Raw genomic sequence first — 18452 nt, forward strand, 5'->3', positions numbered from 1 at the left:
ATGGAAATGTATTTATTTGCTAAGCCTGAGAAAAGCCATTGAGTAGAGAATGAAAGTTACAAAACAGGCACAGGCTATTCATTTGCTGTTAATGCTGGGACACTGTGCCAAGGCAGCTGAAATAAAACAATACACCCTCCTTGAGGTGACTCTTAGGATCATGGAGAGAACCCTGGAATAAATATCTCAGTGTGAAATTATTGTTCTGTCTATGGCATAGAATTCAGAAAGTCCCTTATATTAAAAAATATAAAAGTATTCCTCTTCAGGGTAATTTAATTTAGAGAGCTGGTTTAAATTTTCTGAAAACTAATAGCATGTTTTGAAGGCAGTCTTAGACCCAGAAACATAAATTAGAAAACACATTGTGCCATGATTCCTTTAGAGAGTTTTTCTAGCAAGCTGTTAGCCACTAAGTGCTCTCACCATTGCCATCATCTTCACTGTTGTCATCATCATCATCACCATTCATGGATAACACTCATCATCATCACTGTCACTGTCGTTGTGATCACAGTCATTGACATGATGGTCAGTGCTGCTAAGTATCACAGGTTTATGATGTGCTAGGACTGTGCTCAAAATTTTACATCATTTAGTTCATCTGAACCTCACAATCATCTCAGTAACATTCTAATTTTACTGATTAGGAAGCTGAGACTTCGTAACTTACTATAACTTCCATAGTAGGTAACTTGCAGAAATAATTCTAATCCTGCTTACGGAAACTTTTGCTCTTAATCATTATATTGACTGCCATTAGGTACCAGATTTTACTTGTGATTCCTCTGGACACGGTGCCACATGGAGTGTGATTCTGTTCATTTATCTGCTGTATTCCTCTTTTTATCTAAGTGATGAGCAGAAAGTTTTGCTAGGAGGGTTTTAAAGGGTTAAGTGCTTTAAGAGAACAAAGCCATAGAGTTCAGTCTTGGGTGGATAAGGAACCATGAGGGAGTAAGAAATACATTGTCCGTTAGAGTCTCTTCCTCTGTGCCTCTGAACAAACGGCAATAAAATAAAGAGCATGAAACTTCTGGGTGCTAAATCAATTTATTTATTTATACTATATTTGGCAAGCATTTATTACATTGTTGTTAGCACTGCACTAGGCGCTAAACAAAATATTTACACACAGGAGAAATGCAAGCCCATATTCTTGCCTTGGGAAGTAAACATCAACTGTACAACATTCATAGGGTAACTCATTCGATGTTTTAATCAACTCCATCCCATCTGAGTCTAGTACCACACACTTGAATATGTGCACACAGACATGCACACACACACACACACACACACACACCTCTGTACACACTCCTAAAAGCAAACGTCCAACGATGCCAAAAACACACAGATTTCAGGCAAAAACTTTCAAAATTTGTCCAACAATTAAAAATAACCTGATTTTAAGAAATGCACACACATAGGACTTATAGAGGTTATTTCTACATCTCACCATCTTTATTCCTGGCAATACATGCTGTGTTACCTATGAGTAGTCTCTTTTTGGCTACAAATGTGTCCCATCTTCCATCTGTTCTTCTAGCAATATTGCTGGCTTACTGCCATTGAAGCTACATCAGCCTTCATGATGTCGTCTGACTAGGTTTTCTCAAGTACCCGTTCATTTAGCTCTCCAGGTGAGGGCAGGCATATACATTTTTCTGTAGTTCTCTGAGCAGGGTTTAACTTTGGTTCCATATTAGCAAGTGTGTATGTTTCTGCTCTATTTACCAAAGTTTGCAAACTATTTCGATAGAGTAGAAAACAGAGTCTAAAGTTCCTCAAGAAATTGCTGGCTGAGCCATGAGAGAACTCAGCCCAGGGTCTCAATTTTTCTTTTATAATGGGATGTCGGTTAGAGGTGTGCCTATTAAAGACAATACTCCCTGGATTTTGCTATATTCTTTCACATTTTGCTTGTCTTTCATCCTTTTTTTGTTTTTTGTTTGTTTGTTTGTTTGTTTTTAAGTCGAGTCTCACTCTGTCACCCAGGCTGGAGTGCAGTGGCACAACCATGACACACTGCAGCCTCAAACTCCTGGGCTCCAGCGATCCTCTCACTTCCAGCCTCCTAAATAGTTGGGACAACAGGCACACACCATCATGCACACCTATGTGGTTTGTTTGTTTGTTTGTTTGTTTATTTCCCATCATTTTTTCCCAAAGACAGGGTCTTGCTATGTTGCCCAGGCTGATCTCCAACTACTGGCCTCAAGCGATCTTCCTGCCTCGGCCACTCAAGTTGCTGGGATTACAGGCATGAGCCACCATGCCCAATATGTTTTTGCTTCTTTCATTCACTTAAGTAACATTTTTCTCTATTGCAGACACTGTGCTATGCATAGGAGTTTTTACCCTCTTGAGTTGAAGGCTGAGGTTCCCCCTGCCCCCTCCTTTCCCTTTGTCCAGTCTCTCAATGCGTGTATTCAATGCAGGCTGGTTAGCCAATTGATTAGGAGGTTGGGTAAGTTTCCATGTCAGCTCTGTGTATTACTAGGAGTTTGTCCTTGAGAAAGTTACTTAACCTCTCTGTATTCAGTTTACTCATCTGTAAAAGACACACTCAATAAAGAATGGCTATTATCTTTAAATTGTATTATGGTGATGTATATTTATATTTCAGTCCTCATGTAGAAGGCAATTATCTATGTATCAAACTCATTCTGTAAATTGTAAAAAAGTATACAAATGTAATGTGGTGTTATTATTTAATACAGGGTTTAATATAGGCTTTAATGTAGAGTTTGTTTCAAAGAGAAGTGAAAAATATTTGTTGAACACCTACTATGTCTTAAGCTTTGTTCTGAGAGCTTTACTTACAGTATTTTGCTCAACCTCAAAAAAGTTCAATAATGTAAAAATAATAACAGCCTTCTTTTATTGTGCAATTATCTAACAATCTTAATAATGTAAAAAGTAGATATTATGGTGATAATGATTCTGATTTTATGAAGAAATAAAAAGAAGGAAATGAAGCTCAAACATTAACTTATCCAAGGAAACCTGGCTAGTAAGTGACAGAACCAGAATATGACCCCAGGACTATCTGCTGCCAGGGTCTGAACTCTTTCTGCTACAACACATGCTTTTCCTAGATGGAAGCAATGTATAATAGAGGAGGCCCAAGCTAGGCTGATGAAAAGAAAAATGATACCAAACTAATAAAATATTCATATTTACAGGCAAAATGCCCTCATTGGAAAAATATTAATTTAATATATATAGTGTTTTATATCCCAAATAGTATGACATCCACATAACCGTAAATAACAGAAGTTACCAAAGCTAACTTTTAAAAGAATTCTTTGCTTAAAGTTCTTAATTTTCGTAGTATTTTTGCTTGCCTAATGATAGAATGATGGTGTCAAATTTGAAAATGTAGGCAGATGTATTCATTTTTAAAGGTATCACTTGGAACGTCATACCATTTATTTAGATCCTATAGCTGATTAGTGACCTGTTTAAATAGATAAAACTGGTAAATGTTTGATGAAATAATAAACATGTGCACTGAATCTTCATCTCCTAACTTAAAGCTCTTACAGAGTTGTCAAATTCTAAATAAACAAAGACTGGTCCCTTTTTCCAAAAACTGTCTGTTCATCAGATAAATGAAGCATGTAAACCCACGTGCACACACTATTTTGCTTTACTTTGTGCTATACCTGTTTGCAAGGAATTGTAACCATTTTCCTTAAAACGGCCTTATTTAACTTAATTTTTTTCCTTCAATATATTCAAAAGACCTTAGATTATTATCAGTAATTATCAGTATGACTTAGCAAAGGAAACCTCATCAAAGAACTCATAAAACAGGCTTCATAGAATTTGTATTTTGTAGACTTGTTTTATTTTATTAATTTCTAGCACAAACATCTCACTTTAAAGCTTCCAAAAATGCTTGCACACCCCTAATCTGATTTTACCTATTTGTGAGATAAATGATGTTAGTTTTCCAGTTTTATTGATTATGAAACAAGGATTCTGAGACGTCATTTAAATTGCCTGGGATTCTATCAACCCATAAGTGGCAGAGACAAACTTGAGAGTAATTACCCGCATCCCACCAGGCTTCTTTCTGTCTTAGCCCTGTGTTTATTCTTCTGCCTCACTCTATGGCAATACCATATGATGGGAATAATGTCAGTGTTCATATACCTCTTTGTCTCACGTGCTAGGTCCTCACAATATCATTCATATGGCTCTGTTCCTCTGCACAGGTCCTTTATAGCATCACAAGGATATAATGATAGATTGGGTGAAATCCCTCTCCCCTACCCCTATGCCCAGCAACACAGCTTCTCTCTGATTTCTCTGGATATCCCAGACACAGGAAGGTAGAGCAACTGGGTATATGGCCCACAATGATTGCATTTCCTTCCAAAATAGTTATGATGATTTTTATCAAATAATCCATAAACACTTAATACCAAAATACTTACTGGTATAATTCTGGTTCTGCTGTGAGCAATTTGTGGACTTTGAGCGAAACGTTCAATCATTTTAGGCCTCAGCCTACCAACTTTACTGTGAGAAAAAAGGACTAATTTATACAAAGTCTATTCAAACCTTAAAATATTATTAATCTATGAAAACAGTATGTGGCATAATTCAAAAAACAACAGTGCTCAGGAGGCTAAGATATAATTAATAAAATCCAGTAGGTTTCCTCCCTCATTTTGCCTATAATGTTGCTTATTCTATCAACTCCATTTTGCTTTAGTTTCTTGCAAATGAACTAGAAAGGTGATTGTATAAAGGTTAATTCTATGATGTCAGTAACATGAACTTTAATAAAAGATACTATTGAAATAGAGTTATTACTCTTAAAATGTAGGGCATTCAGATAGGACTATATTGGGATGTAATTATTGATTTACAAATAAAGTTTAGAAAATAAGAAGCTTTGGAAGCAGAGGGTAAAGCTGGAATCCCTCATAAGCAGTGGACTCTCAATTCACTTGTCAATGTATAGCCTAGATCCACACTTGCTCAGAACAGGTTACAAGTATCACACTAGTTAATCCATGCTACCCAGACGGAATGGAAATGGACATTTTGTGGCACCAGAATGCCTAGCTACTCTAATCTGTCTGGGACCCCATTTTTTTAATGCAGTAGTAGCAGAATAAGAAAAACATACAAGAAAGTCAAATGTTTTCCCAACTGCAGAAGCAAACACTTTGCCAGAAATTCCAAATAATTTAAAATGTGGCCTTGCTTTCTCTCCCTCTCTCTCTCTCCCTTTTACTATCAGTACCAAGCCAAGAGTCTAAATATTAATAGAACTATTTATACAGGCTGTTGTCCACCTTAATGCAGATTTTTCAAATTTCTTCTGCAACTTGCTGTATCTGAACACACAGAAACCTCTTATTTCTCTTGTGTTTGCTCAAGTTACACAAGTAAGTTCATGAACATTTTGCCAATACACAAATTCTGATTTTTTTGTGGGGAATATAAGTCATCCCTGTGTTTATAAAGTGACAGAATCTGGAAGGATGTTGTCAGGCCAGCCAACTTTTTCAAACTCACTTAAATCAAGTGCTGTTATTGAGGCAGACGACGCACAGAAAGCAAGTTCACATCTGAGTGCAGTGGTTGTCTCCATCTAGAAATAATCTCAAAACATGGTATGTGAGTGTGGTCTCCTTGGGGGCACCACATACCCTTATAGACAGGCACAGAGCTGGGGAGGGGCCCATCCATTTGAGTCTATGCTTATGGGGTGGCAATCTTCAGTTGCCTACGGTCGACGTAGAAAGACAACACCTGCTTAAATCAAATCTCTCATCCATCCCTTTTAATTTGTCATGGCTCCATGCTCTTTATTCCAGTCCATTCTCTTTCTAGCACTATAAGGAGCAGGGAGAGCAGGCAAGAGACCCAGCAGCAGCCTGTTTGCTGGGAACTTGCACAGTTAAGGTGTCTAAATATTTTTTTTTTTGCACTGTTATGCCATCACTTAAGGATCAATTAACTGGTCTCTGTGGCAAACTGCTGTTCAGTGACTGGTGCCATCCAGTGCGCTGGGCAAACTGACACCAATGACCAATGCTCCCCATGGTTTGTCGTGTCTCTCAGGTTCCCTAAGACCATACCGACGGCACCTGTTAAAGCTGCTTCTGCTAAGCTGTTCTGCATTTGTCTGGCTGGATTTGGACTTCCTGGATCTCTGACTGAATACAAAGTGATTAGAGAGCCCAGTGTTTGGCAACAAGCGCGATAGGGAATACGCTGTGTGTGGGTCCACAGGAGCACAATGTTCTTCATAACCCCATGCAGGGAGCGCCCTGCTAGATTCCCTGTGCTGTGGAGATCAAAATGGTCTCTTTTGTCGTCAGCTGTTTAACAGCAGCTGTTTAATGTAATTCCAAATGATTTGCTTGAATGAAGTTGTCATTCCTGCAGTAATCTTTAATTTGGTAAAACACATAGCTGAGCAATGCTATTTTTAATATTATTTTAGCTTTAAAAAAGTTTCCAGTCCCCATATTTTCCATGATGATGACAGATCGAAATCATTACTGGGAAGTATAATTACGCAAAGGAGAAAACTAGATATTAATATCAGCATTTTTCTACCTAAGTTAGTCAAATGCTAATTGGCAAATAGAGGTTTATCAAAACAAACAAAAAATAAGTATAATGAAGTTAACAGAAGAATTTTTGCATCATAAACTTTATCCCCATCTATCACTAAATGTAAATTGCACCTTTTTTCTGAGGAATATGTCTTATGTTAATAAACTCAAATAGCTAGTCTAGGAAAAACATTTTAAAGATTTCATGTTTTAAGCATTTGGACAATAGTGCTCAAACATTACAAAGAGGACCACAAATGAATCAACCAACCTTCCTTCCTTCCTTTCTTCGTTCCTCCCTCCCTTCCTTCAGCTTTATTGATTATCATCCATTGCAGTTTGTAGAGAAGTCTGTTTACAAGGCAAAAAATGCCTGGCCTGTGTTCTCAGGCAATTCTGCAGTTCTCCTGTGAACAATAGAGGGCACTGATGCTTCTAATCTGGCAGACATCGCCTCGGAGAGAACAAAATCACTCTTCTACTTGTGGCTTGCCTTCCAGCTAGCCAACCTCTCAGTACCACATTCCATTTGTGATAGACTTTCTCTCTCCTAAGAAAGCTACCTCTTTTCTTTCTCTATTAGTTGATATTCTATGTCCAGTTTTCAAAGCTCTGCATTAAAAAGCTGTTCTTCAGTTAATAGTTTGTGGTCTTTTAAAAAAATATCTCCTGGCTTTTCTGATTATGAATGGCTGTTCTTAAAGCATATCTTCTTACCTTACTGATCTTCTTTCTAACCCTATTTAAATACAATTCATTCAGAGATGATGCTACTTGCTAGGATCTTGGCTTAAAAATGAAAACTCTATAGGCTAGGACCCTTTATAAATATATGTCCTGACAACCTACTGTCCAGTGGCATGTATTTATCAAATGTCACAAATTAATACATTGATAGGCACCAGGCCACCACCCGAAGAAGAACATACTGTGATACAGTTCTTCACTAAAGAGAGTTATTTACCTTTTTTTAAAAAAAAACTCAAAGCCATAACAATTTAAACTGTTTCACTTGAATCAAATGAGATGCATCATCCATTTCCCTGATGTGCTTTCAGTAAAGAAGAAAAGGCTTCATAAGAAATACCTTAGGAGAGTGCTCTGTGTTTAACCATTTTCTCACCATAAAAGTTAAAATCACCTAATCAGAAAACACCCTATCATTTTATACTGAATGGTTCATAAGAACATAAAATTCCATTTAGCACTGCTACCCGCTCTCATCATCTACCCTTTTAAAATGCTTACCCATCTTTCTCATTGCTATTCAAAGAAACAGATTTATTTCTCACCCTGGAGTTGGGAATTTTGGCATGCCAGATTGAAAATGTACCCAACACCAAGTAGTGGATGGGTTATTCTTAGTCTCCTTACACGCTTAAGAGAAAATGGGGCAGTGTATGTCTCTAAATCAAGTGAAGTTCTTTGGAAACTATGACTTCAGCTATAGCTAGATTAGTGAGGCTGTTGTCATATTAGAGAAAGAACTGGGATCATGAACAATAGAAATGCTAGTCACAGCAAAAGAGATGAAGGGACAAAATCTTAGGGACTGTGAGAAGAGGTTGCAGAATTATTACCATATTCATCATACTTCTGATTTATTTTAACTTTGGTTATGGAAATTAGAGAAATTCCTCCAGTGCCTTTTTGATGTCTCTGAGCAACCACTGACATTTGGTGGGGGGTATTTTGCCTCAGCCCAGCTGTGCAAACCCCTTTCATCATTTCTCTCCTGTCCCTTTCATCTGCCCTTTCACTGCCTGCCCCTCCACTCCCTTTATTCTTTTCCCTTTTTTTCCTCCCTGCTTAGGCATCAGGGCCTGGGAGCCACCAGTAGACCCAAAAGACACAAGATGGCTAGAATAGTTCCTGTTTCTTCCCTGATAAAGTCAAGGGAAAAGGCCTCCCTAGATAACCTGTCCCTTCGCTTCTTTCCTCAAGGTTTACAAAATAAAAATCAGAATCATTGGTGATAACCTTTCTTGTGTTTTAGACTGTTTATCGTATTAGATGGAAGAATATTCAGCTGATATATATATTTTTTTCTTTTTGGAAGAAGCTATTTCCATGCTGTGGCTGAGCTCTCTGGCAGCCAACAGCGCCTTTGATTAGAAGGCTACTTCATAAATTACAAACCACCAGAGTGAGAGTCATTATGTAGAATGGGCTCTGCCATCTGGTCGTCCACTCTCTACACGATAAAGGCCATCATCCTTGCTCTGTGGCTTGGTTACTTCAAGGCGTCCTTAGCCACAGCACTGAAAGAAAATAGATGTTTTCATTCTAAGCTCACTTGGCCTTTTAAACCTAGAATATTCAAGCACTTGGAAGGGCTATTATTCCCATTTAACAGATTGGGAAACTGAGATGTAAAAGAGTTAAGTATTTTTGTAAAAAATCCAGTAAAAAAAATGTACAATTTTTCCTTTGCTTCAATAGCAAGAGAGCAGATTCCGCTTTTCTCTGCTTTCTAGCTGTATAAGAAATTTCAGATACATTTCATTTCCATTTTCTGAAAGGTTCTATCAATGGAAATTACGGGTGCATGTGACAGGAGAGAATGAATTTCTTATTGAAGAGGTAGGCACTCTGCAACAATTCATCTCAGCTGCCTCTAAAGAACAAAAAATAAAAGTTTTTTAGTGAAGTTGATAAAATGCCAGACAGGAATGAATACTTTACTTTTACTTATGTTTCTTTCCTGAAGCAAACAGGAGAAACATACCTCCCTTTACCTCTGGAAAGCAGTTCAGAACACACTGCTAGAGGTCCTATTCTCTTCAGAAAGAACTTCTGGGCATTTGAACTAAAACTGGCCAAATCAAAGAACTGTTTAGCCCAGCATGGATTCAGTATGATGGTAATTACTAATTGCTTGAGTCTGAGACATTTCTTTCTTCCTATACTAGGGTATTTTAGAACAGTAGAGTGTAGTGGACATGTATTCTGGAACAGTGGCTGGGTCCCATCCATGCCTCTTATTAGCTCTCTGGTCTTGGGCCAGTTAGTTAACTTTACTGTACTTCAGTTTCTTCCTCCATAAAATGGGCTTAGAATAGTAACTACTTCATTGGACTGTTGGGAGAATTAAAATAGTAAAATTGTTACAGTGATTAGAACAGAACTGTTTCAAGAAGAATATTTTGCTGCCTTCTCACTATTTTTTTTCAATCTATCAAGATTAAAAGTTATCAAAATAAAAGAAAGGTAGATGCAGAACCACCAGTAAGTTTATACCAGGATGATGAGGATGATGTCTCACTTCTATTAATGGAAATAATATGTGTGGCTTTGCTGTCTTTGTAACCTATAAGCATTACCAATTAACATGGGCAAATGATAACCAAAGGCAAAGGACCATATATCTATATATTGATACACACACACACACACACACAGAGTAGTACCTGTCATTAGAACTTCCTACGCATACATAAACATGTTTCTTGTATTCCTGTATCGAAAGTTTCAAACTACACACTAGTGCTTATGATTACTTCTTTGCAAAGATATGACAATTCAATTGGATGCTTTCAATTAATGTTCAGAGAGTTTTGCCTGGTCTGTAATGTCAGACACTTTTCTTATCAAAGAAGGTTGGAATTTATGAGACATGGCAAGAGAAAACCATCAAAGGGTATTTTTAAAGTCCATATTAATGATTACTGCCACCCTCCTTTTAAAAAACAGTGAAAGAAAATGTCAGGAAAGGAGTTCAACAAACTAATACTGCTATTGCTTATAGTTTCCTTTTATCTTAAGTCTATGTTCTGATTTTAAAAAAGTTAATATCAGAGGTGCATTTGGGCTTTCCACATATTTTATAATAGTTGTGCAAATACATAAAAGTGTATATATTCTTACATTCCTGTGGTATAGCCCTTTAACAAAGTGTATAGGTATAGTCCAAATAAACTTAAAGCATACCTAATTTCTTAGCTGAAAAGCCAGGACCCTTTGGAAGTATTAAGGATTATGTATTATGACTTTGTATCAGAGTGTCAGAAACCCTGGCTTCAGATATAACAGGAGGGAGGAGGTGGGGAGTCGTAAGAAGGACCGGGTGTGCATGCATTGTCTACATTTTCTTCAGAGCAGGAATAAAATCAGTCACCAGTGATCTTTCATGCAACATAAAGTTGGACTTCCTGGGCTTGTTCTGCTCAGCTGTGACTCCACTCAGTGTTATCAACTCTGTGTGGCATTTGGTTATCCTACCATTGCTGCTCTCAGGCCTTTTGTCAGAAACCATGCTGATTTTACTGCCATTTTTTTCTTCCCAAAACATAAGAGCTTTCAAAAGTAACTTAATGGGAAGCAGCTAGACATTTTAAAAGAGATGGAGGAAAAACAAAAACCCGAAACCTTCTTCCTTCCAAATATTCTGAAATATAAGACCCAAAATGAATGTGACCTTGACCCAGCCTATACATTTCACCAAGGGGTCTAAACCCTGGGGAATCCCAGGCCTTCCCTCCAGAACACTTACACACATACTCACATGATATAGTGCTGTCTCAGGATTAACTTTTACAAAAGAACAGAAGTATCTCGAACTTTCACTCTAGAGTCCCGTATCTTTTTCAGTATTTCCTAAAACATTTAAATTGTGTTTTCCCCTCTCTATCACACTGCAAAGGTGACAGTCAACTTTTATCATTCAACATCCTTTTGGGAGCATCTTTCCTTCTGTACCCTTAGTTCAGATTTACCAGCAACTGTTAAAAAATATCTGCCTAGGAACTCTATATAAGAAACAATGAGTTTGGCCTAAGCTACTGCTGTGATGATTCACAGATAATCATTCAGCCGCCGGGCTCTATTTATATATTTATTTCAGTCACTAATTTCAGATTTTATTCCTTAGTATCTAAGTCAGTACAACCAGGCAAAAGAGAAAGAACTTTTTTTTTTTTTTTTTTTGCCACATTTTAATCTAGTTGCGTGTTGCGTAAAAGATTTGGTGGGAAACTTTGAAAGTAATGAATCACATGAACTTTCTCAATGATTTGTGGATTTCACTCTCAAACGTTCCTTTTCTATTTCAACTCCATTATAATGGATAATTGAGAACTGACTACACAGATGGGGAATGCATCCATCCATTCATTCAACAAATATTTCAAGATGATGACAGGGACATCAAATTTGCTACATGTAACTAGGCCTTCTTAAAAGAGGCAGATGATGATAGACTATGGAAGAAGGAGAGTATGGCTTTCATGTTTATATATTTTGGGTATTCCATGAACACATTTACAAAGAACAATAAAGAGAAAGGGGCTGCATAGCGGATATTTTATAGGTTCCAAAGCAATTCATGATTTTATCACATCTACTGTTTTCTTTGAATAAGATATTTTAAATAAAAACTGACTTTACTTTTTTTCAAAGCAGCAAACTGGTGAATTTTTGATGTTCTGTAATTTCCTGAATTATGGTTTTATATTAAATGTCATTCCTCCCAGAGTGGTAGCAAATTACATGATTTGCCTTTAAAGCAAAAATTAATTTGTGAATTTCAAGTCATGATTTGCCTTCATTCCACCTAGACCAGGACTCTAGATCTTAGAGCCCCCCAAACTCAGCTACTGTATATTGTAAAAAGGAGCATTTGGTTAAATAAATGGCTAAATTATCAAAGTGACTATATCATATCCCGAATTATCAATTATATACAAACTACATACTATATAGAAAATAGCTTTGTTATATTCAATAGCATATTATACTGTGGTTGGTGAAAATAAAATTCCTTTTTACTCCTATTTTCTTATATTTACCTCACATGGTCCCCACATATAAGGAAAGAATGACCTTTTTAACTCAATCCTTGCTGTCAGTCCCCAAAACCCAATCTCCAAATTCTGTGGAGTCTCAAGTAGCTGAATCAGAGCAATCAGTAGATGTTTATAGAACTGAATCTTCTTCCTTTAGTGTAGACCATCAGTGGCAGAAACAACAAGAAACAGTATGCATTTTTATGCTAAGGATTTACTTTGCAATATATACTGTTTCAAAGTTTTCAACTTCTTCTATTCCAGGGGCTATTTGTATTTGCTAATGATTGTAGTTAAATAGTGAATACTTTCCTCCTGGATGAGGGGTCCCTATTAGTAGCAATCCAGAGATGTTGCCTGACCCTGGCCCCCCTGCACATTACAGGGAATCTAAAAAAACTAACTTTCCCCCAGAAACCTGAAATAGTTTGGACCCAAGTAGTGTGCATTCCCAAAATGCTGTTGTACCCCAGATAAATCTAGCTTCTTGCTGCCAGATCTTAAGGAAGCCTGTGTACTTTAATTTTCTCATCTGAAAAATGTAGATAGCATCTGCTCTATCTAATTCACAGGCATGTGTGGAAATAGATGCAATAAAATGGAAAGCCCTGGCATTCAATAAAATCCATTCTCTTCCCAATCTCATCAAAACCAAACTACTGAAAAAAAGCAATATATAAATATTAGGGTTTTTTCTCTTCTTTTTGTATTCTAGGATATCAGAATGACATGTTATGGTGGACAAGTTCAAAGAGTTTGGGAAATGTGCCATTTCTTGGTCCTGGAATAAGAGAATGATTTGGGGTGGGGGATCGAGAAGATTATTTTAACCAGCCAGGCATTCCTACTCATTTTTCTCTGCATATCGCCACAACTTGGACACAACAGGAGCTTCAACGAGAGGAATTTGTACTTATCAGAATCAAGAAAATCAGGTTTTTTCTCTCTTTGACAGATATAGTTCTCACAATGGGTCTCAATAAAGCCTTTTCCCCACTAGGAATTGAGAGATAGCTCATTCTAGCTACTTTAAAAGAGAACGAGGCAGGGAAGGGGAGCTATGAATAAGATTTCCAAAGCTACAGAACTTGCAAATATCTAAAGAGGCCAGTATTTACTTCAAGAAATTAAAGAGCGAAATGTTGACACTGAAATAACAGAAAGCTGAAAATACTCTTAGTACTCTCATTATATTCTATCATGTAATAGAAAAGTTGTACACTTTAAATGTGTACAACAATTCTCTATGCAAAGAATGGTCCTCATTGGGTTTGGGAATATCTTTGGGATCCAACAGGAACAGCATGTCCTAGAGTAGAGACTGAAAAACATTATCACAAATAGGCCCATATCTCATAACTGAGATGTCTAGGGTACGCACACCCATCTCCCCAAGACCAAGGTGGGAGATGCCAGTATACAAGTCCTTCTAAACTCATTCCCTCTCCTCATAAAGGCATTTCCACAGCTCCCAGAACTCCTATCTCAGGTTGTCATTGCAACTTTATGCAATGCTTTGCTCTAAACAATTCACTAATTCAGACTGTAAATCTTTATTATAAAGATTTCCTTCTCCTAAGCAGTAATTCTCTCTGCTCTGGTGGGGAGAGGAATGATTTGTTTTTTCGTTACTGGTTATTTATAAGATATCTACTCTAGATTAGTCCTGCTTGAGTGACATCCTAAATGGCTCATTCCCCAGCAGTACTCTACTTCTGATGGGAGACTGACAACCTCTACTTAGAATGTCTTTCATGGTACACAATGAAGTGTAAAACTGCTGTGAAAAAGCCCATGTTTCAAAACAAACCATCTCTATAATAAGCACTTAAAACACTTTTCATTAATATATTTCTTTGTGTATAAAACAAAAGCTTAATGCTGCAACATGGCCTTTGACAATTTTTTTTTGGCAAAAATAAACACTATTTCAGTTTTTAGCTAGACCAAAATAATGAAAATGTAAGTGAGGCTTGTTTGAGATTTTACCCACATCCACACTCTTAATGCTGGTGCAAACTGTGTTGTTTTCAACCAAAACATTAAAGTTCAACAAAAATCCAAAGGCAAAAAGCTTGAAGTAGTAAATTTACAATCTAACAACCTTTCTATCTCAGGTATTAGCAAATACCTATGGTCTAGAGAGATATAGTCCTGTCTAATCCTTATCTGAATTTGCAATTAAGACTTCAGAGCCACAGATATCTGTACACAGTTCTGTACACAGTTCTGCTCTCTTAATTTTAAATGACTGAACCCAAATCAAATCAGGCTTCAAATACATTGAAAAGTAAATGTCTAATGTCTAATTGAACTAATAGATAGTACTCTTTAATACAGTTAATGCTTAGTGCCAGATTTAGGAGCCCAGGAGCTGCAGAAATAAGAGAAATGAACAAATAAACAGCATTAAAAAAGAAGAGGAAGAAAGAAAGAAAATCCTCCTTGGAAAACTTGTCATGAAATTATGATGACTTGATTCCTTAATATAAATATAAAAGCAAGCAAATTCATGTTGATTCTTTCCTGCCATACCTCCTCCTCCCGTGATCTAAATGTGCTCTGAATTAGATTCCCATTCACTTCCATTAATTGTCACCTCCAATAGAATATTGTAAGAGCCTCAAAATGAAGCACTTATGAGTTTTCTTTTTCAGTCTCTTGTGGGCTTCTCTCAGTTTATCGCAAATGAACAATCATGTTGGAAGGGCCTCCGTCTGTTTAATGTCATTAGCGATTGTTTCATAAAACAAACAGCCGCTCCACCATTCGGCTGCAGTTAATCTTAAATCTAAATGTGGCGGCACTCAGGGAGAGCCTCAGACGTGGTTTGTTCTCACCAATGCAAGTCTCTTAATCTATTGCAAGTCAAGGCGCTTATCTCTCTGCTCAGTTCAGAGCAGGGATTTCTTTGTCCAAATACTAAACCAAACCCAGTTAACATTTTGAGTCCAGAATTTTTTTTTTTAACCTCCTGGGCAATTTTTTTTAAAGCGACTCAAAGTCTACAGTATATTTATTTGTTGACTGTACTATTTTACAAATATTTTCCCAATACTGAGAAAGTCAAATTCTTTTTCAGGTTGGCGCCTACAAGCCAGCCTAATCAGTGAGTTTGGGAATCCTGATAAAAGGCTAAACTGAGAACAAAAACACATTTACAGACCTGGGAATGATGGGTACTTGGAAAGTCAAAGAATTCAGGGGGTTATGTACTCCCAAAAGAGTCTGATTACCCCCATAAATTAGGCTTAATCACTAGTATCTTAATAATAATATTATTATTTAGCATAGACATGGTCTTGAGTACTTACTATATATTTTTTTTCATGGAAACAGCCAAATAACCCCTAAGAAGGTATTATTATCCCCATTTTCAGATAAAGTAGCTAAGGCTGAGAGAAGTAAAGAAACTTGCAGGAGGTCACACTGCTGGTACCATCATTTCAAACAAGGTCTAACTGGCTTTGAAGCATATGTTCCTAGCCATAAGGCCCTATTAAAACTGGCCATCACACCAATTTGAAAATCCATGTCTATAACGATCATATATTCTGCAGTTCCTGGGAGAGTTCTAATTTGCAAGTTTTTGTACCTCTGCCAGATAATGTGCCCCAGATTTTTAGTGGAAAATATTATGGTTCTATGCTACAGTTTCTAGCAGCAGAAGCCTGCCTGTTGCTGCTCAGGCTCAGATAGCAAAGGCTGCTTCAACAAATAACTACCCAGTTTTGCCACCATAGCTTAACGGAGGGGCTCTGTCCAAGTTCTCTGACTTAGTCTCCCCAGGTGGAAACTTTCAGGTTCCAGCTACAGCCCTGTGTACCCCAGCAAACCTCCTAAGGGTCTCCTCCACCCACCACATGGTTTTCCCCCCATTCACTCAAGGCCTTTAAACCTTTGCCTGCTCTTCTGTTGAGTTCTTTTTTGATTTTTAAAACCCTTTTGTTGTTTTTCAATTTCCACCTGCTCCCAAATAAAACCAAAAGATATTGGAAGGCAGAAATCAAAATCTGAAGCTCCTTACATAGTATTGAGTAGCCACTCAGTCAGCTGATAAGCTGGAAAACATTTATTCATTGAATATCTGTTAGTCCCAAGCACTAGGTAGGCACCAGGTATACTAATATTTGCTTCCTAATATACCTACTATACTAATAGAACAATTTTTTTCTTGTTCTAATAATTTGTTGAAGAGAATCTGAAGGTCATACCTCATTCATATCTCTCTGCTCTGGCTTTTTGGAATTATTTTCAGCTCCTTAGAAGGGATGAGGGGACAAGCACTTTTGCCTCCAAGCACTTGCACATATGGGTCCCTTAGCCTAGTACATTATCATCCCTCTCCTTACTTGCCTAGTTCCTGCTCAACCTTCAGATCTTAGAACACATGTCACTTCTTCAGGGGTATGCCCCCATTCACTGCATCCCTAAACGGGGTAAGTGTCCCTCTGATTGGTTTCCACGGCATCCAGGATTTTCCCACATCCTGTGCATGTCTTCCACATGTCTGTAAGCACCATGAGGGATAGGGACTGGTCTGTCTTGTTCAACATTGTCTCCCCAGCGCAAGGGACCATGCCTGGTACAGAGGTGGTGCCCAATAAATACTGCCTGCATGGATAGATGCATAGAAAAAAAGGGTGTGTATCTTAGAATAAATTTTTTTTCTCATAACCAATAAAAAAATCTCAAATTCTTTTAAAATGGAGATAGAATATTTATATTCTGAAGAATATATATAAGAAAAGATATAGAGAATAATATAAGAATATAAATAAGCATATATATGTGTATATATATATGACAATATACGACTATATATAATAACTGATATCCATGGCCTGAGATTTTGCTCTTTTAAAATCCAAATTGAAAACCCAGTGTGGTAGCATGCATCTGTAGTCCCAGCTACTCAGGAGGCTGAGGTAGGAGGATCACTTGAGCTCAGGAGTTTGAGGCTACAGTGAGCTATGATTACACCACTGTAATCCAGGCTGGGTGACACAGGGAGGTCTTTTCTCTAAAAATAACATAAATTAAGTAATTTAAATTGAGAGGGAATAAAGGACATTTTGAATGGAGTTTAAAAACATCCCAGAAAGGATAAGGGGAGGCTTAAGCAGAGGGATCAGAAGAAGGAGGGCATGTACACTTTTCATGTTTTGCAGTTTTAACCAGGAAAATCACTATTTTATTAATATGTACTTAGAATTCAATTCAGTTTAATCAATAGTCATTGATCGTTAGCTGATAGGATAGACACTCTACTAGACATTATGAGGTGGTGGGAGGTGATAAAACATCCCAGTTGTAAGAATGTATAAGCAGAGGAATAGAAAGGAGGGCCAAGACAGCAAAGACAGGTGGACATTCCTTTCAAGGGCTGCAAGTCTCTCGTTTGCTCAGTCTCCTTTGTTCATATCGGCTCCATCTAGCAGCCCCAACCCACTGTTGCCCCTTCCAAAGTCCACCTCAACCTCCCCCTGGGGACAGGTGTTAATGTCTAGGAGAGAAAAAAAAGGAGATATAGAAAGTGAGATCTAAATTGAGATTTGCTTCCTGATAAACCTACTACACAAATAAAAAAAAAAAATTTTCTTGTTCTAGAAATAAGGTGAGTTTTACTACCTTATACATACTTCCTTTTTTTTTATCAATTCCTGGTATTTCCTTTTTGTAAACTCTAGATCTTCTAGAGTCAGCTCTGAGTAAAATGATTATTTCCTAATTTAAACAATTAATACAATAAGTGTACTGGTCTTCAGAATCAAACAAGGTTTTGAAAAGTGGCAAATTTCAGTAATGGAAACCAGAAAACAAAGTAAAACAATCTTACAGGTAATCTTATATCTTGACTCAGAGTAAATATTTGGTGAGTGCATAAATGATCCATAATTTCATTGTCACCAGAAGCATCTATCTCAACAAATCTCAAATCAGAGTGGTTACAAATAATCAAATGGGCTGACTTGGGTTCACTGTATTCTTCCTGTCTCTGCCAGTGCCTACTATCTAAAGAATACAACAATTAAAAACAGTAATAACAGCAACAAGGCAATACTTTGAAAAGAAGCAA

At 37.2% G+C, this 18452-nt stretch overlaps 1 protein-coding gene and 1 long non-coding RNA gene across 44 annotated transcripts in view; both read right to left on the reverse strand.

The window, feature by feature from the left end:
* ESRRG (estrogen related receptor gamma) overlaps window positions 1-18452 on the reverse strand; it is a 634457-nt gene that overhangs the window by 239960 nt on the left and 376045 nt on the right. The window lies entirely within an intron of this gene.
* Window positions 1038-17074, reverse strand: LOC124904512 (uncharacterized). Its single transcript, XR_007066880.1, has 2 exons — window positions 9973-17074; window positions 1038-1306 (listed from the first exon to the last, which is right to left on the reverse strand). It is a non-coding gene; the product is annotated as an uncharacterized LOC124904512 (long non-coding RNA).

The sequence above is a fragment of the Homo sapiens genome, chromosome 1, assembly GCF_000001405.40.
Source record: "Homo sapiens chromosome 1, GRCh38.p14 Primary Assembly".
NCBI lineage: Eukaryota > Metazoa > Chordata > Mammalia > Primates > Hominidae > Homo > Homo sapiens.